The sequence below is a fragment of the Homo sapiens genome, chromosome 7, assembly GCF_000001405.40.
Source record: "Homo sapiens chromosome 7, GRCh38.p14 Primary Assembly".
NCBI classification, from domain to species: domain Eukaryota; kingdom Metazoa; phylum Chordata; class Mammalia; order Primates; family Hominidae; genus Homo; species Homo sapiens.
Genome location: NC_000007.14, coordinates 101,860,096 through 101,882,569, shown reverse-complemented (window position 1 = coordinate 101,882,569; position 22,474 = coordinate 101,860,096). Strand labels below are relative to the sequence as shown.

General features: G+C 47.7%; 1 protein-coding gene across 25 annotated transcripts in view, besides 2 other annotated features; it reads right to left on the bottom strand.

Annotated features, from left to right (window-relative positions):
• CUX1 (cut like homeobox 1) overlaps positions 1-22,474 on the bottom strand; it is a 467,952-nt gene that overhangs the window by 401,389 nt on the left and 44,089 nt on the right. The gene's annotated exons all lie outside the window — the stretch shown is intronic.
• Positions 4,724-5,529: an enhancer, noted in NCBI's record as "H3K4me1 hESC enhancer chr7:101520321-101521126 (GRCh37/hg19 assembly coordinates)". NCBI's record gives its function as "activates a minimal SCP1, AML or CMV promoter by ChIP-STARR-seq in naive H9 embryonic stem cells {active_cell/tissue: H9 hESC(naive)}" and the evidence as "EXISTENCE:reporter gene assay evidence [ECO:0000049][PMID:30033119]".
• Positions 20,998-21,711: an enhancer, noted in NCBI's record as "H3K27ac-H3K4me1 hESC enhancer chr7:101504139-101504852 (GRCh37/hg19 assembly coordinates)". NCBI's record gives its function as "activates a minimal SCP1, AML or CMV promoter by ChIP-STARR-seq in primed H9 embryonic stem cells {active_cell/tissue: H9 hESC(primed)}" and the evidence as "EXISTENCE:reporter gene assay evidence [ECO:0000049][PMID:30033119]".

The window sequence follows — 22,474 nt, the reverse complement described above, 5'->3', positions numbered from 1 at the left end:
AAGACCAAGAACAGCACCCCGGCTTTATTTCTGTAGGTGTCTTCATGCACAAATGCCTTTAGAGTGGTCTTTTTTTCTTTTTTAATTTCTACACCTAAGTCACACTGACAGTAGCTGATCGTCATCACAAATTTTCATTTTATTTCAATTCCAGGAGGGTAGGTCTCTGAAGAGACACTTTTGCCAACTAGGCTAAGCCAAGTTGTGTGAGGGTGACTCTGAGATGATCCTATTGGTCAGCCGTCCCCTTCGCAACAGGGCGTGCTGAGTGACTGGTCACGAAATTCCCTAAGTTAGTGGATTACTTACTTATGTGGTATGCTTATTCACCAGCCTCATCTGCTTCTTGCTAGGAAACAAGTTCCTTTTTTGTTTGTTTGTTTTTGAGATAGGATCTCACTCTGTTGCCCAGGCTGGAGTGCAGTGGTGTGATCATGGCTCACTGCAAGCTCCCACCTCCCAGCCTCAAGCGATCCTCCCACCTCAGCCTCCCGAGGAGATGGGACTACAGGCGTGCACCACCAAGCCCAGCTGATTTTTTTTTTTTATTTTTGGGTAGAGACAAGGTCTCACTATGTTGCCAAGGTTGGTCTCAAACTCCTGGGCTCAAGCGATCCTCCTGCCTCAGCCTCCCAAAATACTGGGATGACAGGTGTGAGCCACTGCACCTTGCCCTGTGATTCTGTTTTATTGCCATAGAATGGTTCGGCTGTTCTATAAAAGCACAGGAATAAACCAATAGCATTTTTCCACTCCTGCCTCCTCCCTCAATAACCTCCACCTTCAAGGAGGTTTCTGGATGCCCAAGTGACAGAAAGTCATCAGTCCCCTTTTTCTCGGCAGGAGAACTGCCCAATCACATGGCCCTACAGCCTAACAGGTGCTGTCAAATCGCTGAAAAGGCAGGATAAGTTCTTGACAAATCGGTGGCGTCAGAAAATCAATTCCCAAATACCATGTAATTTACTGACAAGCCCACCAGGGCATTCATATTGGACGGGAACAGATTTCTTCCCTGAAAAAGGACAAAGATAAGAGCAAGAAACATATTTACATTTTGTCTGCAGACCCAAGCTCCTGAGCCAGCGAGGAGGAATCAAGGGAGGTAGTCAGTGTATCGCAAACAACTCGGGCCTGCCAGCGATGAAAATTAATGGGAAGGTAAGAAGCTGCTTTTGATGCTGGAAGAACTCCAGTAAAAACTGGTCTGTACATGGGAACACGGTGTCAGACTCACAGAGAATCAGCTTGTCTGACTTGTGGTTTTCTTGACAACATTCATCTTCTCTTGGCCTGATACAGGGCAATTAGTGCTTGTCAGCTGAATCATGTGTTATTAAGATCATTCAGGCATTTTTTAATTACGGTGAGCGAGACAGACAGTAATGAGATCTCCAGCAACTTTAACTTTCCACTTCCTTTTTAGATAAATCTTAAGCTGCCTTTTTTTTTCTTTCTTCCCTACTGATGTTTCAAAAGAATTGTTTATTCCTACAGGTAATACTTGTAACTCAGCCCCCGTTTCCCCTACCTCCAAGCAAAACATCAAACTGCGGGGGGCTCCCCCAAAATCAATCAAAGACATGTTTCTTACACATCTGCTCACTCTAATTGGACATGGGATGAGCAGCTGCTCTTTTAAAAATTGCTCTTAGTGGAGAATTTGGTTCTGGAGGACTCCTTGGGCCCACAGAGCCCCAACCCAGGACCTGGGGGTGGGGGGCCTGGCCTGGCTGGCTTCCATCCAATTCCTAAAGGGGTCATGGCCTGTGTTTCATCACGTGAACCCCACCGTCTTTCCAAAACCTGGTCTTCTTTGTAGTAACTCTTCCTGTCACGTGACACCAAAAAACCCAGGATGCATAAAAATGATTTAATCTGCTTTTATAGTCTATATTTCATTCTATTTGCTTTTAAATTAACAATTCTCAAAAAGGTTAAAGTACACTACCAGCTTCAACCTGAATCAGGTTCATCATTTCTGCCTTTTAAAATGCTCCCTTTACATCAATATTTCATTGAGGGAATCATTGTCCTTTCCTAGGAGATTTCAAATGTTTATGATCCCAGTTCCCACTCTTTATACAGCCAGGAGCCAACGTGATTTCTGAGCTATTCCTGATGAACCATCTGTTTCTTTATGAGGCCGATGAGAGGGGTCTGGGGAACGGGTGATAAGGAGAAAAGCCCCCAACACTCATTCTTGCCGGGAACGCACACCGTCCTCATTGTGAGCCATTGTTCCAAAGGCACCGAGTCTCAAGAACGTGAACTTCCGAAATTGCCAACGAGCTTTAATCCACAGTGAACGAGCAGGAAGAGAACTTTCTGAAGGAAACTTCTCCAAACCCAATGACCTGTTCCTCGGAGTTTTTTGTTTTTTCAATGTTCCTTTCAACGGTGCACATTATATAAACGCATTCTGGATATTCTCACACTTGGAGTTTTTGTGCCTTTAGTTGTTTTTAAAAAAACAGCCTTTTTAAAAAAAAATCAGCCTTTTCCTGTAGGTTTTTATACAATTCTAGACAAGGTATATGCTGCGATCCAAAAACGCCTCCTCTCCCCCAGCCCCCAGCAAAGCCACCTTTCTCTGCCACAGACCCAGTGGACTCCAGTTTGTCGCCACCCACCACCAAAGTCCACAAGTCAGGAGGTGGTAGAAGGGTCTGAGTGTGACTCTGCGGTCCCCTGTGCGCCCCCATGCAGAAGCAGGCTGTCCTGTGCTTAGAGACCCTGGGAGAACCCCACTCAGCCAGCTGGACGCTGCCTTGGGGCAGGAGCTGAACCTGCAGGAATCAATGCTGGAGCTCCACCAAGGACCCTGCGGGCGGGCCGCACGGCACCCAGGGGGCCACTTTTATCTCCCAAGAAGGCAAGGCCACAAAAGGAACTGACCACCCTCAACTGGGCCAGCCGGGAGAGCCCACTGTCAGGGGGGTCACACCACACTGGCTGGCTGGCCTCAGGCCTCCAGGGCAGGGGAAGTAAGCCCCAGAAGGCCGAAGACAACTGGAGCAATGGTAAGACCAGCCTCAACCACAGAGAGGGGCTCCCAGCCACAGGGAAGCAACTGGGACAGCCAACGGCTAGAATGCATTGATTTAGAACAATAAAGCGAAAAGTTGCATTATTTTAAAGAGCTAGAAACTAGAACTAAAATAGAAGAGAGGGAGGGGTCCATTCCAATTTCAAAGCAATTTTTAGAGTAGACCACTCTTTGTACAGGGGAGATCTGACAGACAGAAAGACTTTCATGTTAAAGCTATGTGAAGGGGGGACAGGGGAGGGGGCAAAGGGTTAAGGTCCCCCAAAGCTGAATGCAAGCATTCCCACTTCCCCACCCCCAACAAGACAACCCCAGGGACTCCTCCTGGGCTCAGATCAAGACTTCAGTTCAGCTGCAGGGAACAGTGTCCTCAAGATATGCTTGAAAAGGCTTTGAAATGCAACAGTTTCAGCTACTTAGGCATATTGGTTTGAGTTCCTGCAAAGAACAGACAGGGTCAGGATGGTTCCAGCACAGTACGAATGGGCTTCTCGCCCTAACAGAATTCTCGAAAAAAATACCATAGTTACTTCTACTTTAAGATCTCGTGACTGGGTGCAGTGGCTCATGCCTGTAATCCCAGCACTTTGGGAGGCCCAGGCAGGAGGATCACCTGAGGTCAGGAGTTTGAGACCAGCCTGGCCAACATGGCGAAACCCCATCTCTACTAAAAATACAAAATTGGCCCGGCATGGTGGTGCGCGCCTGTAATCCCAGCTACTCAGGAGGCTCAGGCAGGAGAATTGTGTGAGCCTGGGAGGCGGAGGTTGCAGTGAGCCGAGATCATACCACTGCACTTCAGCCTCGGCGACAGTGAAACTCTGTCTCTTAAAAAAAAAAACAAAAAAAGATCTTGTAAGCCGCTGGTGCGTCTTTTTTTTCTCTTTATTAATAGAATTTTTACAATCACATTGTATTGAAAAGGATCTGTTTTGAGGCTTGGAAATTGCACTGCTTTGAACAAAACTGCATCAAGGTGAGCTTTGCCAGACCCCAGCAGCGACGCAGTAATTGTGGGCTCAGGCGCACAGGGCCGGCTACTACGACATTCCCCCAACTTGGCCCCAGCCACACCTTGCCAGCCTTAGCGGCAATGACTTCAGTTTCTCAAACTAACTTTTCATCTAGCTAAGCTGCAGCCTGTTGCTGGCTAACTGCGAGGTTGGTCTCTAAAAGGACCCACCCCTCTCCTAGGCACACTCACTGACAGTCACTGCCTGTTTCCTACAAGGAAGTGGCGTTATTCCAAGTTAGTAAAATAACCAAGGGGAGGGGAGGGTCCTGTCCCACAGTAACCGATTTCATTGACTCCTTACTGCAATGTGCACTTCCACACCTACAAAACCAGGTGGTTTGTTTTGTTCTGTTGCATTCCTTTTGTGCATATAATTAGTGCAATCATGAAAGAATTAGCATTAGGGCCCTGGAGGACAGGGCTCTCTGCAGCCAGTGCTGGAGGGAAGGGGTGTAAACTGCTAAGTGTGGGTAATCTGGCAGTTCCTACAAATTCACAAACACTTAAGTCCCTGGGCCTGGCCCCTCTCCCTATAGGAATGAGTCCTGCAAATCGGCTTCCCCCTGCAGATAAGCTTGCACCTGTGTCAAACGGTGTACGCACAACATTCTTCAAGGAAGCAACCCAAATATCTATCAAAATGGAACCAAGTATATAAAATATACCTATTCATATCATTGAACAATGGTGTCGCTTTAATAAACACACACACACACACACACACACACACACACACACACACACACACAATTGGAGGGATTTTAATGTACTGATTTGAAAAGTGTAAGAAACACTGTTAATTTTTATTTATTTATTTTGGAAACAGAGTCTCGTTCTGTCACCCAGGCTGGAGTGCAGTGGGACGGTCTCGGCTCACTGAAACCTCCACCTCCTGGGCTCAAGCGATTCTCCTGCCTCAGCCTCCCCAGTAGCTGGGATTACACGTGCCCGCCACCATGCCCAGCTAATTTTTGTATTTTTAGTAGAGACGGGGTTTTGCCATGTTGGCCAGGCTGATCTCAAACTCCTGACCTCAAGTGATCCGCCTTCCTTGGCCTCCCAAAGTGCTGGGTTTACAGGCATGAGCCACTGTACCTGGCCTGTTAATTTTAAAAAATAAAAAGCCACTTGCACAAGAGTGTGCATGGCATGCTAGACTATGTGCATACAAAGGAGGGTGACACTGGTATTTGTTTCTGTGTATATAATGAAACTCTGGAAGGATACACACCAAAAAATCAACAACAGTGGGTGGGGAGGTAGGCAGATAGGAGACTTTTCTTTATGCTTTGTTTTTGGAACCAAGAGATTATATTACTTGCTTAAAAATAGGTAAGTAATACAAGAAATTCAGTGCAGTTACTGCTATGAATTGTTCCAACTTTTCTGGAAAGTAATGTAATGAAATGTACCCAAAGTCATAAAAATGTGCACACGCTGTTCACTTCTACTTTTAGAAATTTAACCTAAGAAAATAATCAGACATTAAAAATCATAGAAAAGCTGCACGGATGTACAAGGATACCCATCCCAACGTGGTGCAGAGTGGTAGTGAGGTCAGAAACTAGGAAAAAGATGAAAAAAAGATCAGAGGCCGGGTGCGGTGGCTCACGCCTGGAATCTCAGCACTTTGGGAGGCCGAGGCAGGCAGATCACTTGAGGTCAGGAGTTCAAGAGGATCAATTTGATGAAATATGAGAAATCATATAGTGGAAAACCATGTAACATGTCACTTCAAATACAGTGTGTGTGTGTATATATATATTAACTATCATTGAAAGATATTTTCTTTTTCATTTTTCTTTTTTTTTTTAGACGGAGTTTTGCTATGTTGCCAGGTCAGAGCACAGTGGCCCGATCTCAACTCACTGCAACCTCCACCTCCCAGGTTCAAACGATTCCCCTGCCTCAGCCTCCTGAGTAGCTGGGACTACAGGTGCGTGCCACCACGCCTGGCTAATTTTTTCTATTTTAGTGGAGACAGGGTTTCACCATGTTGGCCAGGATGGTCTCGATCTCCTGATCTCGTGATCCGCCTGCCTTGGCCTCCCAAACTGCTGGGATTACAGGCATGAGCCAGCGCGCCCAGCCGAAAGATATTTTCAATAGCACGGTAAACTCTAGGCTAGGACACAAAATTGTTGCAAATCAGGTTTTTTTTTTGTTTTTTTTTTAATCTGTCGCCCAGGCTGGAACGCAGTGGCACCATCTCGGCTCACTGCAACCTCCGCCTCCTAGGATCAAGCGACTCTCCTGCCTCAGCCTCCAGAGTAGCTGGGACTACAAGCGTGTGCCACCACACCTGGTTAATTTTTTATTTTTAGTAGAGATGGGGTTTCGCCATGTTGGCCAGGCTAGTCTCGAACTCCTGGCCTCAGGTGATCCACCCACTTCGGCCTCCCAAAGTGCTGGGATTACAGGCGTGAGCCACCGCACCCAGCCACAAATCAGTATTTGACGTGTTACTTCCACTCACCTAGCTTTCTGTTTACATAAGCCCACAGGGAGAAAATATCTGAATAATGCATCCTGGGACCAAACCATCGGCAGTCATAGGATTCATGGCCATCTTTACTCCCTTCACCATAATTTCTTGTAGTTTCTTAATCTTTACTCTCATTTTTTGCTTTGTAAAAATCAGAGAGAAAGTCATTTCCATTTTGGGAAAAAAAAAAAGAGTGCTAAATAGATGGTTGTTTTTCCTTTATTAGGCAAAAAGTCAGGCCTACGTAATAGAGGATGAAAGAAATCTCTAAAGGTAGAAAAAGCAGAGCTCCCGGAAGGGGCAGAGAGCGGCGCACCTACCCGTGGGCACTGTGGGGAGGGGCTCAACGCGTCTCAGGTCCTGACTGGTATTCAGATGAGGTGTCCTCCTGTGAAAGGTACGAGTGGTACACACACACCACAGCTAAAACAGCAAACAAAACACCACGACCTCGAAAGAAGGGAGGTGGAGTAGCAGGCACAGTTTTCATCCTCCCCTAGCTTCCCTTCACTGTTTGGCACAAACAGTTCTTTGGCTTATTATAGGGCAGTGTGACAAAAATACATTCTAACAGCAATTAAACACCATGTCTAACAGCCAAGTGTTTTTGGTTAATAGAGAGCTCTGCTTATAATAAGAGAAATCATTGTCTAATGCAAAGCAGCTGAAATCTAAGCCCTCGTCCCTATTTCCCATGAGTGAATAGCAGTATTTTCTAAAAACAACAAAAAACATCACCCCACTGAAGGCCTGGCATGTGGCTGACGGTACCTGAAAGAGCTTGCAAACTGACATCAGAGAGGTCTGGGTTTGCATCCTAGCTGTGATTTAAGGAAGAATGACCCAGGACAAAGGTAATCTTTCTAAACCTCACTTTACTCCCGGTAAGAGAGGGTGTGTACAAGGCCCCAGGCAAGACACTGAGACATGCCCCCCAAGTGGACAAGGAGCCCCAGTTAGCCTGATTTCTCCTTTTTGACGTCTTCCTGTCATCAAGCAGAATTGTTACAAATTAAAATAGGCTTGCGGCCAGCGCGCGGTGGGTCCCCACTAAAGGGGTGGAATGAGGTCTAACAGCAGCGGTGTCTGTCCTCGATGCTCTGGGACAGGCGGCCCCCCAGCCTGGTGTCAGAAGGTGTGATGCAAACGCTCTGAAACTGGACTCCACGCCATCAAATTATTTCATTTAGGTGCAATTGTCTTCAATGGTATCAACCACGTGGTACCCTCTACAACTGAGTGTGTTGATTTTGCTTCAAATCCTTAGAATCTTTGTTACAACAACAGATTCCCCATCTGTTTCCCCTGAGTTCACGATGCCAGGCTGGAGGGACAGAAACCCGGGCAGAACCTCGGGGTCAGACCGGGCCACACTGGCCAGCTTGAGGACCTGGGCCAGTGACTTGACTTCTCCCTGAAAAACCAGGATGATACCGCCCACCACCTCGCAGAAACGTCCTGAGAATTCAAAGACATCACGATCCTAAAAAGTTCCCAACGGTGCCTGGCACCAAGGCGATGCGCCATAAATATGTCCTTCCTCTGTGCGTGTGTCCTGCTCCTCAGCTACCGGTGGAGTTTAGAGAAAAGTTCGAGGGCTCCCAGGGAGTTCCAAATCACCATGTTTCCGCTGCTTTTTAAGTAAAATGGAGTTAATACTATCTGCCTTCCAGTCACCTTTAAGGATGCGGTGAGGATTAATTGAATAGGACATATTAAGCCCTTATTTCCTCAGAGAGAGACACCAAGGAAGCACAGGATATTATTCTATCAACGGCCTGCACGGAGATCCTCTCCACAACTGGCATGAAAGGAATGTACCATTTCACTCCCATCCTGCCTGCAATAATCCGAATTCAATTAAGCCAGAAATCTCATTCTGAGAAGCATCTCTTGTTTCACAGGCAATATGAAACCATTCCAGACTCCTGGCCCAAAGAATATGAAATATGATTTACAGTTTACTCTTTTCAAAGCATCCTGAATAGTCTAAGACTACATGAGGCAAGGGAATGCAGGCACTGTGGGCCTCTTTACTTCAGCAGTCTTCCTGTGTTCATTTTCCTGTAGATAATTCACTGATACTGAATAGAAACAGAGGCAAGTACCTATATTATTCTATCAAAAGGAGAACCTGGCAGGACGCGGTAGCTCATGCCTGTATTCCCAGCACTTTGGGAGGCTGAGGCAGGCGGATCACCTGAGGCCAGGAGTTCGAGACCAACCTGACCAATATGGCAAAACCCTGTCTCTACTAAAAATACAAAAAATTAGCCGAGTGTGGTAGTGCACGCCTGTAATCCCAGCTACTCCGGAGGCTGAGGCAGGAGAATCGCTTGAACTCGGGAAGTGGAGGTTGCAGTGAGCCAAGATCGTGCCACTGCACTCTGTCTCACAAAAAGAAGAACCTAAGAAAATATACCTCTTCTTCAAATGTAGAGAAACCTAAAATGTTTCATCTATCTCCCAATATTTAAAATAAGGAAAGAGAACATAGAAGTTCTTCCACAAATATAATTAAAGCCAACATAATACCAGGCATGGTGGCTCACACTTGGTAATCCCAACATTTTGGGAGGCTGAGGTGGGAGGATCGCTTTAGGCCAGGAATTTGAGATCAGCCTGGGCAACATAGTGAGGCCCTGTCTCTATAAAAAATAAAATAAAACATATGGGGTGGGGGGAGGGATAGCATTAGGAAAAATAGCTAATGCATGCTGGGCTTAATACCTAGGTGCAGCAAACCACCATGGTACACACGTTTACCTATGTAACAAACCTGTACATCCTGCACATGTACTATGGAACTTAAAATAAAAATTAAAAAAAAAAAAAAAAAAAAGAAGCTGAGGCCAGGCGCGGTGGCTCACGCCTGTAATCCTAGCACTTTGGGAGACCTAGATGGGAGGATCACAAGGTCAGGAGATCAAGACCATCCTGGCCAACATGGTGAAACCCCGTCTCTACTAAAAATACAAAAATTAACTGGCCATGACAGTGCATGCCTGTAATCCCAGCTACTCGGGAGGCTGAGGCAGGAGAATCACTTGAACCTGGGAGGCGGAGGTTGCAGCGAGCTGAGATCGGGCCACTGCACTCCAGCCCGGGTGACAGAGCGAGACTCCGTCTCAAAAAAAATAAAAAATAAAAAAGCTCAGAGATTTTAAAAAGGATACCCAAATGATTAAAATGGTACATTGTAAAAACTAAGTAAATAAATAAAATAAAAAATAAAACCAACATAACTTTAGTATTCTCTAACAGAGAGGGGGAAAAAATACCCTCATCTTGAAAACTTTAACCTAGAAGTGCAAAAAAGGCCTAAATCCTATTGACACATACACACACAAAAACAGATAGTGTATGTGGCTTTATTTTTTCGTAATATTTCACGCATACAGAAAAGTATAAATTCCTATGTACCTAACACATAGCTTTACCAAATTTTATCATTTTGTCATATCTATTTAAAAAAAAAAAAAAAATCATAGAAGCCCCCACTCTATCTTCTTTAGTCTCATTTTCTCCTCTCCACCTCCAAAATAATCACTTTACAGATTCTTTCCCCCCAAAAAAATCCTTCTATGGGCCGGGCGCGGTGGCTCATGCCTGTAATCCCAACACTTTGGGAGGCCAAGGTGGGTGGATCATTTGAGGTCAGGAATTCAAGACCAACCTGGCCAACATGGTGAAACCCCGTCTCTACTAAAAATACAAAAATTAGCCGGGCGTGGTGATGGGCGCCTGTAATCCCAGCTACTCGGGAGACTGCAGCATGAGAATCACTTGAACCCAAGAGGCAGAGGTTGCAGTGAGCCAAGATCATGCCACTGCACTCCAAACTGGGCAACAGAGAGAGACTCTGTCTCAAAAATAAATAAACAAATAAATAAAATATCCTTCTATGTCTGCTAGATCTTTAATAATGTAAAGTCATTGCTTTGCATCTTGAACTCACAGAATCACGCTGCACACAACTTTCTTTTCTTTTTTTTTTTTTGGGGGGATGGAGTCTCGCTCTGTCGCCAAGGCTGGAGTGCAGTGGTGCAATCTTGGCTCACTGCAACCTCCACTTCCGGGGTTCAAGCGATTCTCCTGCCTCAGCCTCCCAAGTAGCTGGGATTACAGGCACACACTGCCATGCCCAGTCAATTTTTTAATTTTTAGTAGAGACGGGGTTTCACCAACTTGGCCAGGGTGGTCTTGAACTCCTGACCTCAGGTGATCCACCCGCCTTGGCCTCCCAAAGAACTGGGATTACAGGCGAGAGCCACGGCACCCGGCCCACAAATTTTCAACAGCCCTTTCCTGTGCGAGGCGACGCTGGCAAGGTGACCACACATGCCACCACCACCCTTACTTACTTCTACTAGATGCCACCTGATGGGGGCCAGCACCACCCATGCACATCTGCATCCTTCCGGCTCTTGCACTCCCATGGAATATATGACAACAGACACTCCTGTACCTGTCTCACTGTGCACGTGCCCAAGGTCGCCTCTAAGATGCATGCTTCATCTGGGAAGGAGGCTGCTCGCTGTGCTGCAGGCACCTCCACCAAGTGGCTCTCCAGTGGCCATTCTGCTCACTCTTCTACCAACAGGACACAGGGCCCCCTGCTTCTACTGCCCTGCCAACCCCCTCTACATGCAGACTTAAGATTCTGCCACTATGATGGGTGTTAACAAAAAAAAAAAAAGGCTTTTTTTTATTTTTTAGAATTATCATGTAACTGAGTACATCACTTCTTAGTCCTCACTACAGGACCAAATTCAGTTAAGCAGAGGCCTGTATTCTGCTGATAAGCCAGGTATTCCCGGGCAGAGCAAGGCAGTCAGGAAAATGTAGCAGGATCTCCTGAACCACGGATGCTAGGATCACACAGTAAAATGCTTCAGAAAGAGGGGTGCAGAGAGCAACAGGAATGCTCTCCAATGGCCTGCAGCAGGTTTTGAGAAGAAAACATGACAGGGAACAGGGGTGTCCGCCCTGCTCTGGGCAACACCCGCTCTCCTACTCATCTGCAGCCCCTGGTGGCTAGGTCCATCCAAGGCACTGGCAGGTGAGCTCAGCTTGGGGAGATAGTTACGAAACTGACATGTGCGTGGAACTAGGCGAGGCGCCTTACTATTTATTTACAGACTTCATAAGCATCTATTCTAAAATTACTCACTACCAATTTTACAAGGCAAAACTCTATACTGTCCTCACAGCTTTAGCTGAAAACAACTTTAAAAGGGGAAAAATGAAAACTAGACCACAAAGGGTTGGAAAAATCTTGCAGAACCAGCTCTACCACTTAAGGTTGTTTGCCGCTCTGTAATCCACATCGAGCTAATTGTAAGATTTCCCTGTAAATTCAGACTCTTGAGGTTTTCACAAGAAATAATCTGAGAAGAGTCCCTAGCTTCCCTCATCCATTAATTTCTAGACAAGAGTTTTACAAAAGGCAGAAAAGAAACAGCCTTGACTGGAGTATCGCAGATCCTAAGGAAAGAATGCCCTGCTTTGAGCCTGGAGATAAATAGCACCACCCCCTCTTTAAAACTAAACATTAGGGAATGTCTCATGCCTGTAATCCCGGTACTTAAGAGGCCAAGGCGGGTGAATTGCTTGAGGCCAGGAGTTCGAAACCAGACTGAGCAACATGGTGAAACACTGTCTCCACAAAACAACAACAACAACAAAATACAAAAATTAGCCCGGTGTGGTGGGTGCAAGAGCCTGTAGTCCTAGATACTCAGGAGTCTGAGGTGGGAGGATTGCTTATGCCCAGAAGGTTGAGGCTGCAGTGAGCTAGGATGGTGCCACTGTACAACGGTCTGGGTGACAAAGGGAGATGCTGTCTTTAAAAAAAAAAAAAAAAACAAAAAAAACACTAAACATCAGGGCCTGCATGGCCTCACAAGCTGCAGCGGGGTGAGACAGCTACAAAGAGCAAAGGGGTGAAGACACCGGATGGAAAGCTACAGGTGCTCAAATGGCCCACAGGGAGGCGGTCTCAGGAGGGGGTCAGAAAAGGCACTGGGGAGGGAAGGCACAAGAGGGGGGGCACGAGGAGCCGCCTTCCCAAGGGTGGTGGTTCTGCGGGGCACCTGGAAGGGGATGGCAGACAAGCTGCCCACCACGGTGGGAAATAAGGACACAGGGGCGGAGCGCGTCTTAACAAGAGGATTTAAGATTTGGCGGAGGGGAGCCACGGGGAAAGCTGAAACCGGGGTTTACATTCCTGGGAAATGCCAGAGCCTGGCCTCCCCTGCGCCTCCCCTGCGCTTCCTCTGCAGCCTGTGAGCTCCCGCCCACCTGCTGTGGCTCGCACGTGTGTCCTGCCGTCTTCCATGGTGTCCTGAGGACACGGAGGCTCCCCGCGTGTGCACACCAACGCCTCCTCCCGCCCTGCTGGCCGCCTGACCTTGGCTGACCTTCTAACGTGCTGGTTTCCCTCCCCCGCCCCACCAGCCACTCCCTTCCCGCGCCCCGCAAATGCTGTGCTCACCCCACAGCCTCAGCCCTGGGCCTCCAGCTCTTGCCTTTAAATTCCATCCTCAGAGATGCGTTGACGCACATGCCAGGCATTAGGAGACCTGTGGCCAATTCCGACCTTTCCCCTCAACCTCTTGTGTTCAGTCCACGTGTTTATTAAGCACCTACTGTGTGCCAGGCACTGTGCTGGGCAATGAAAACTCAGCCTAGACAGGACAGACCCACTCTGTCTCTTACTCAAGGGGTCTGAAAGGCACCGCGTCCTCTGGACACAGTGATGCTCCTCTCGCCAGCCGGGGCTCTGACACAGCCCCTCTGCCACAGGTCACGCGCACATGGGGCTCATCCTGGTCTCCCCCTACCTGCCCCCACCAGCCATTCCCACATCCCAGGTGGAATGACTCCCACTCCTTCTGGCCTTTGCTACCTGCCCAAGTCCATGCCCCAGGCCCTTTGCCCCCTCGCCCGCCCTCGGAAGCCAGGAAGTCTCCACCCCAGCCGCACCATCTCCTGCGGAAGCGTCTCCCAGGGCATGGCCCAGATCATGCCTACAGCTCTGCTGGCATCCAGGGGCCTCTCCTCTCCTGTTCTCGCCCAGGTTTCCAGCCCTCTCCCCACTCTCCCGTTCAGATTCAGTCCTCAAAAGCATCAGTGCGCAAGGCCCTCTTGCTCCCGTTCTGTCCCTTCCCAAGCCACTGCTCCCATCCCCCCACGACAAATGGCCCCAGTCCTTTAACTCCCACGTCAGAGGGTTCCCCTCCTGGGAGCCTCTCTCCATCACTCCCTACAGCCAGCTCTGCCCTGTCAACCCCTAAAGCACTTCATCATCCATTCTGAGCTTTGCGGCTGATGGTATTTAACTTAAACCAACTCCTGCTTCAGTAACCCCACCCATGAAGGTCTCATTGCCAAGTGAAGGGCTCCAAAAAACAGGATCAGGTTTGCAGTGGACACAGGGCACAGGGCTGGCTGTCCAGTGGCTGTTCCATCCCAGGGCACCAAGCGCTAAGGTGCCTGTCCTCAGTGTGTAAGATGAGCAAAGGGTCCCCAACACACAGACATGCCAGGTCCCTGGGGGAAAAGACTGAGACAGGAGAAAACAGCAAGTACAAGACTCTACCCAGGAAATGCCAACACATCACAGCAGCCCAGGGGAGGAGGCGCTGGCCCAAGATGAGGCCAAGGCTCAGCCAGGGACAGCAAAGGACAAAAGCCAGCTCCACTACAGGCCTACACAGGTGCCGTAAAGGGACTGGGGATGGATGCAACAGGTTTTAACTCTACAGAAGGAAACTCGGGTCCCCAGATAAGTCTAGAAGGACTGGACTCTGGATTCCTCAACACAGAGACAACAGCTAAAGGCACAAGTGAATGATTCTACTCACAAGTTGGCTTAAAAAGAGAAAAGCTCGCCTGTAATCAAAGCACTTTGGGAGGTGAAGGCAAGAGGATCGCTTGAGGCCGGGAGTTTGAGACCAGCCTGGGTAACATAGCGAGACCTCATCTCTATTTTTTTTAAAAAAGAGAGGCCAGGCACAGTGGCTCATACTTGTAATCCCAGCACTTTAGGAGGCCAAGGCGGGCAGATCACTTGAAGTCAGGAGTTCAAGACCAGCCTGGCCAACATGGTGAAACCCCATCTCTACTAAGAGCTGAGATCGTGCCACTGCACTCCAGCCTGGGCAACACAGCAAGACCCTGTCTCAGAAAAAAAAAAAAAGTTGCATTTGGACTTTGAGTTGATTTGATTTTCCGTGGTGATCATGAATGCGTTCTGTATTCCTGAGGTGTTTTGCTTCCATATGCTTAATTCTCTAACATGGAGATGCATCAACAGTGACAGATGAAACATCAGGTTGCTTACCGGGAGGTACCTTCCAGAATGCGTGTGACGGAGCCACCACGGGCAGCAGCATCCCGCTCCTTCAGAGGGCACTTTGGATGCTCAGTTTCCCAGGCAGACTGTTTATTAAGCGTGGCCGCACAGAAGCCCTCCCCTCCCAGTGTGCCCACGGTGACCTGGTTGAAGCCACACACCACGTGCTGAGGTGTTGTGGCTGGGGCAGACCTAACACCTGTGCCTCTTGTGGCTGCCGTGAGTGGTCACAGGTGAGAACAGGGTGGCAGGTGGGCCCCTGGTGGGATTCAGAGTGCACAGAGTGAGCACCTCCCTTGATGCCTGGGGCAGGGCGAGCACATTACGAAACCCTTGAGTGTGTCCGCTGATCAACACTTACTCCAGCCATTCCTTCCCTTCTCTGATCTTTCTGGATTTCAGGTAATTTGCTTTTCTCTCTCTCTTTTTTTACTTCTATTTTTTCAAGACAGAGTCTTGCTCTGTCTCCCAGGCTGGAGTGCAGTGGCACAATCTCAGCTCACTGCAGCCTCCGCCTCCGAGGTTCAAGCCATTCTCCTGCCTCAGCCTCCCGGGTAGGTGGGATTACAGGCACCACCACGCCCGGCTAGTTTTTGTATTTTTAGTAGAGATGGCGTTTCGCCATGTTGGCCAGGCTGGTCTCGAACTCCTGACCTCAAGTGATCCACCCACCTTGGCCTCCCAAAGCGCAGGGATTACAGGCGTGAGCCACCATGCCCAGCCCCAAATACAACTTTTATGAAACTTTTTGAAACTTCTTATTCCTATATGCCTTATTCCTATATTCCTATATGCCATGGCGCCGCCTTTGTAGGTTTTGAAGTCAATAAAATGCTTAGAGGGCAAAGTAGAACCACCTTTAACTCAACGTTTTGTGCCTTGTATTGTGTACACTGACTCAGGATTGAAATTCTCCTGATTTCATTGTTACCAACAATTTATTTAACGAGCTGTTCATTGTCTCAACGGTGAATGATCAGCAAACAACTATGCCTGCTCATTTATCTACTCTAGTTTAACTTTTTTTTAAGAGACAGGGTCTTGCTCTGTCACCCAGGCTGGAATGCCACGGTATGATCATGACTCACTGCAGCCTCCAACTCCTGTGCTCAAGTGATCCTCCCACCTCAGCCTCCCAAATAGCTGGTACTACAGGCAAGTGCTACCACAACTGGTTAGTTTTTGTTCTTGTTGAGACAGCGTCTCACTCAGTCACCCAGGCTGGAGTGCAGTGGTGCAATCCCGGCTCACCGCAACCTTTACCTCCCAGGTTCGAGATTCTAGTTCCTCAGCCTCCCAAGTAGCTGGAAATACAGGCGTGCACTACCACACTCAGCTAATTTTTGTTTTGTTTTTTTTTTAAGTAGAGATGGGGTGTCGCCATGTTGGCCAAGCTGGTCTCGAACCCCTGGCCTCAAGTGATCCACCCACCTCAGCCTCCCAAAGTGCAGCAATTACAGGCGTGAGCCACCATGCCCAGCCTAATTTTTATTTTTTTAGTAGAGATTGGGGTCTCACTATGTTGCCCAAACAGGTCTCAAATTCCTGGGCTCAAGCAATCCTCCCACCTCAGCCTCCCAACATGCTGGGATTACAGGTGTGAGCCACCATGCCTGGCCTCCTCTAGTTTAATTTGAGACCTTGAAATAAATGTTCCAGTCTGCAATAAAGGGTCCCATATGATTTTTTTTGACCGGAGGCTGTAAAACAAGCATTCCAAATCTCTCTTCTTTTGGTCGACGTCAAGGTCGCCTGCGTTGCCAAGGTCTCTCAAAAACACGTGCTGCTTTCCCCTGAATCCACTGAAATGGAAGTCCCATGAGGGCCGGTGCAGTCATTTGCTCCAGTACCCACTACCTACCATTGTGCCTGCTTTCACTCAACAAACCATAAAACGTTAGCTTAATGAATGAGTGCGCACGTCCCGTGGTGGCCATCATTAAATAGCATGCTAGTATCTCCACACTCCAGGGTGCACGCACACCCTTCGGCGTTCACAAACATCCTGAGCCTACCAACTGCGTAAGAATGAATGTGGAAACGCTCGGACGCTGGCTGCCCCCAAAAGTACAGGCTGTGTCATTGCTCTCTGACAGGGGACTCCCTTGTCATTTGACAACAATACGCTAAAGTAGACAGGATTGCCAGTAAACATTTAACAGCATGAGAAACATGATAACTCCACACAGTGCACTTCTTAAAGGAGCAGCCAGGCAATTTCAGCTGAAAGAAATGAAGATTTAACTTAGCTAGTCTGCACGAACATCAGTGCCTCCACCACATCAGGAAATATGTTCTCAAAAGGTCATGTGCACACACATCCACTGCAAAGAAGAAAAACAGTTGTTCTGGGTTTCTTGACAAATCAGAACAACCAGTCTATAATAACAGCAACTGCTGGCGGGCATCTGTAGCTCAACAAACCGGACTTTGTGCACCTGGCCTCCCACAGAAGTTCCACAAGGGGACCTCGAAATGGTGTCAGCGGAAGGACTGGGCAGCCACGGCAGGGGGAACCCAGGCCCCAGGCTCCTCTTCTATCTCCCAGGGCCGAGGCTAAGGCAAAGCCTCATTCTCTCTGGGTTTTGGTATCTTTGTGATAAACTGAGAGGATTGGTCTGATTTTGGTCCGATTCTACAAAACATTTAAAAAAAAGATATACATCATGAATAATACCATGTGGGAGATAGTATTTCCCTTTTTTACTTTTTTAGAAATAATTAAGGTGGCTCATTAAATATTAATATATCATGAAGCACCCCCAGTTGAAACATGAAGCTTAAATAAGTATTAAAAATAACTATCTATTAGGCTGGGCACAGTGGCTCATGCCTGTAATCCCAGCCCTTTGGGAGGCCAAGGCAGGTGGATCACCTGAGGTCAGGAGTTCGAGACCAGTCTGACCAATATGGTGAAACCTCATCTCTACTAAAAATATAAAAATTAGCTGGGCATGGTGGTGTGCGCCTGTAGTCCCAGCTACTCGGGAGGCTGAGACAGGAGAATTGCTTGAACCTAGGAGGCAGAGGTTGCAGTGAGCCAAGATAGCACCCCTGCACCCCAGCCTGGGCGACAGAGCGAGACTCCCTTTAAATAAAAATAAAAATAACTATCTATTAGGGAAATGCAAATCAAAACCACAATGAGATACCACCTTAAACCCACTAAGATGTCTACCATTAAAAAAGAAAAAAATCCAGGCTAGGCATGGTGGCTCACCCCTATAACCCCAGCACTTTGGGAGACCAAGGCAGCAGGATCGCTTGAGCTCAGGAGTTCAAGACCAACCTGGGCAACACAGCAAGACGCCATCTCTACAAAAAAATATAAAAATTAGCGGGGTGTGGTGGTGCACACCTATAGTCCCAGCTACTCAGGAGGCTGAGGTGGATGGATTGATTGAGCCTAGGAGGTCAAGGATCCAGTGAGCCATGATTGTGCCACTGCACTCCAGCCTGGGCAACACAGTGAGATCCTGTCTCCAAAAAAAAAAAAACAATCCAGAAAATGACAAATGCTGGCGAGGCTGTGGAGAAATTGGAACCCTTGTGCACCATTGGTGGGAATTTAAAATGGTGCAACCCAAACAGAATTCCACTTTTGGGTATAAACTCAAAAGAAACGAAAACTGGGTCTTGAAGAGATATATACACACCAGAGTTCACACAGTGTCACCACAGCCAAATGGTAGAAGCAACGCAAGCATCCACTGATTGATGAATGAATACACAAAATGGGGTATACACACACCACGGAATATTGTTCAGCCTTAGAAAGAAAGGAAATTCTGACACAAGCTACGACATGGAGGAACTTTGACACTGTGCTAAGTGAACTGAGCCAGTCACAGAAAGACAATACTGTATGATTCCACTTAGACGAGGGACCTAGAGTGGTCAAAGGCATAGAGACAAAGTGGAATCATGGTTGCCAGGGCATGGTGGGGAAGAAATGGAGTGTTATTGTTTAATGGGTGCAGAGTTTCAGTTTTGCAATATAAAAAGAGCCCTGGCTGGGCGCAGTGGCTCACACCTGTAATCCCCACACTGTGGGAGGCCGAGGCGGGTGGATCACTTAAGGCCAGGAGTTTGAGACAAGCCTGGCCAACATGGCGAAACCTCGTCTCTACTAAAAATATAAAAATTAGCTGGGTATGGTGGCACATGCCTATAATCCCAGCTACTCGGGAGGCTGAGGCAGGAGAATCGCTTTAACTCAAGAGGCAGAGGTTGCAGTGAGCCAAGATCATGCCACTGCACTCCAGCCTGGGCGACAGAAGGAGACTCCATCTCAAAAAAAAAAGAAGAAAAAAAAAAAAAAGAACTCTCAAAAGACAAAGACACATGAACCAGTCCCAGCGGGACTCTTGAATCTCACTTGGATTTTCTTGTTCTGATTGAAACAAATTTTTTTTTAATTATGACATTTGTGGGAAAGTGGCAGTTTGATATTGGATAGCTGATATTGATGAATCTTTGTCATTTTTCGAGGGTGTGCTAATGGTATTGTGGTTGTACTTTTTGCAAAGTCCTTCTCTTTTAGAGATACACACTGATGTATCTGTGGATGGCAAAAGATATGATGTCTGGGATTTGTTTCAAAATTTAAGTCGGGTGAGCGATGAGAAAGTTACAGATAAGACAAGGCCAGCGACAAGTAAATAATTATTATTGAAGCTGAGTCATGGACACAAAAGCATTCATGATCTTCTTCTGTTTGGGTATATATTTGAAATTTTCTGTAATAAGTAAAAAAAAAAAATACATGAAATGCAATTATTGCTGTGAAAAAAAATAATCTGAAGCCACATTTTCCTGATAAGTTTAGTAATACGGGTCTTTATCCTCTCTGAGCTCTAAACTTTGGGAGCTCTAAACTTTCCACACACACACACACACCGGGGACTTACGATGGGAAGGAAAGGGACACCGTGGTCTCCACAACGAGCCTGATGATGAAACGTGTTCAGGGCACACTTGCAAATTACACCAGGTTTAATATGTCCCTCGATGTAAATTATGTCAGTGTGAAATCCCACCTTTTTATAGGCAGGAGGAAAAACCCACCTTTTTATAGGCAAGTCAGAGGAAAGGGGGCAGGTTCTGAGCCAGCCCAACAGAAGGGCCTTCTTAGAAACTGCCTTCCCAGTCTCTGTGCTGGGGACTTATGGAAAGGATCACATTTCACAGGCAGCAGCTGAAGGACAACCGCAGGCTGGAAGGGCAGGCGGAGGAGGCCACTGGTGGCCTGGTGTCAACCGTAAAGCCAACTGCACAGCGTGCAAGTCCCGCCTACGACAACACACAATGTATTATATTCTAGGGACCCACCAGACTGGAAGCTCTTGGAGGACTAGAAGGACTCTGACCTTCCCGCCACACACCCCCGAGACCAACAGGAGTGTCTGCTCCATGGCTAGATGCTCCATAGATGTTTCTTGAGTTTCTGACTATGTCAATAGATATCATCAATCCATTTATTCAGAGAAAAAAAAATTCAAAGGAAATAAATCAAAACATTAGGGGTGGCCGGGCACAGTGGCTCATGCCTGTAACCCCAACACTTTGGGAGGCCAAGGTGGGCGAATCATATGAGGTCAGGAGTTTGAGACCAGCCTGGCCAACATGGTGAAACCCCATCTCTATTAAAAATATAAAAATTTGCCGGGCATGGTGGCAGGCGCCTGTAATCCCAGCTACGTGGGAGGCTGAGGCAGGAGAATCGCTTGAACCCGGGAGGTGGAGGTTGTAGTGAGCCGAGATTGTGCCACTGCACTCCAGCCTGGGCCACAGAGGGAGACTCCGGGAGGTGGAGGTTGCAGTAAGCCGAGATCGTGCCACCGCACTCCAGCCTGGGCCACAGAGTGAGGCTCCGTCTCAAAAAAAAAAAAAAGTTAGGGGTGATGATAACTCTGGTACTGGGATTATGAGTGACTGACACATGGCTACCAGCCAGCCTGGGCATGCAGAAATCTCACTAGCCCATAAGCACCAGCACCACCAAATCAGGACTGGTCAGGACTTCTTCTCCACCCCACCCCACCCCACCCTACATGTGCCTCTGCAGCACTGAGCCCCCAGTCCTCCGCCTGTCCCACCCTCAGTAGACAGGGGCACCCAGGGGGCCAACCAGCACCAAAACCAGCTTTGCAGCCCAGCATCTGCAGTGCATGCCGGGCAGGCAGTTTGTTAAATTCAAATGACTGAACCATTTCCATTCCAAAAGATTGGGGAAAAAACGGGTTGCAAATTTGCACCTGTTACTGGCTCTTAACAGCTAACTGCTAAATGTGGAAACGCAGCTTCCACTTAGTAGACTCTGTTCTTTAGAGAATCAACTATTACGCAGAGACGCCATTGCACTTGAAACCATCTGCCAGACATTAAAAAAGTGACCAGGAGTATGCGTGCAAGGACTGGTGGGCGCAGCTAAAGGAAAATGTGCCAATTCCTGCGACCAGCAGACACGGGGCAGAAATGTGGGTTCGAAGGAGCAGGGTGGCTGAGATCCGTTCTAAAGCAGGTCAGGACCTAACACATTCAGAGATGCAGATTTCTAGAGACAAAAAAAACTAGTGCAGGCCGGGTGCAGTGGCTCAGCCTATAAACCCGGCACTTTGGGGGCCTGAGGCAAGAGGATCGCTTGAGGCCAGTTCAAGACTAGCCTGTCTCTACAAAAAATTTAAAAATTAGCCAGGCATGGTGTTGCCCACCTGTGTTCCCGGAACCTCACAGGCTGAGGTGGGAGGATCACTTGAGACTACCAGGTCAAGGCTGCAGTGAGCTATGGCTGCACCACTGCACTCCAGCCTGGGTGACACAACAAGACTCTGTCTCTTTAAAAAAAGGAAAGAGAGAAGAAGAGAGGGGAAGGAGGGAAGGAAGGAAGGAAGGAAGGAAGGAAGGAAGGAAGGAAGGAAGGAAGGGAGGAAGGGGAGATAAAAGAGAGAGAGGATAAAGGAAAGGAAAGGACAGGACAGGACAGGAAAGGGAGGAAAGGAAGGAAAGACAGACAGACTAGTACAATCCTCTAGTTTTATAGATGAAGAAACTGAGGCTCACAAAAGAGCAGTGGCTAGCCCCAGGCCCTGGGACAGGTGATGGCAGGTGACAGCAGGTGACACACTGAACTTAGCTCACCTCTCCCCTGGGACCCCACAGAGCATCATTCTGCCATGCCACACAGCAGAAACTCATCCTTCATATTGTTCATTTATGTTTTAGGTGTGATCGTGGTATTAGGTATTTTTTTCGAAGTGACATTATCTTTTAGAGATACATACTGAAATATTTATGGAGAAAATAATATGATGTCCTTTTCAAAATTCCAGGAGTAGGCAGGGGCGGAGATGAAACTAGACAGGCCAATAGTTTGGAACTGATCATGCTGGGGGCAGCACACAGGGTTCATTATTCTCACCTCATGTGTGTCTGAAATCTTCCACCAGGAAAACATTTTCTTAAGAATCTGTTCAAAATACCAAACAGCGACAATGCATCTATCCCCTTCAAGGAGAGTCTCTGCTACTAATCTGGGCCTTCCAAAAAAAGAAAAAAGGAAGAAGA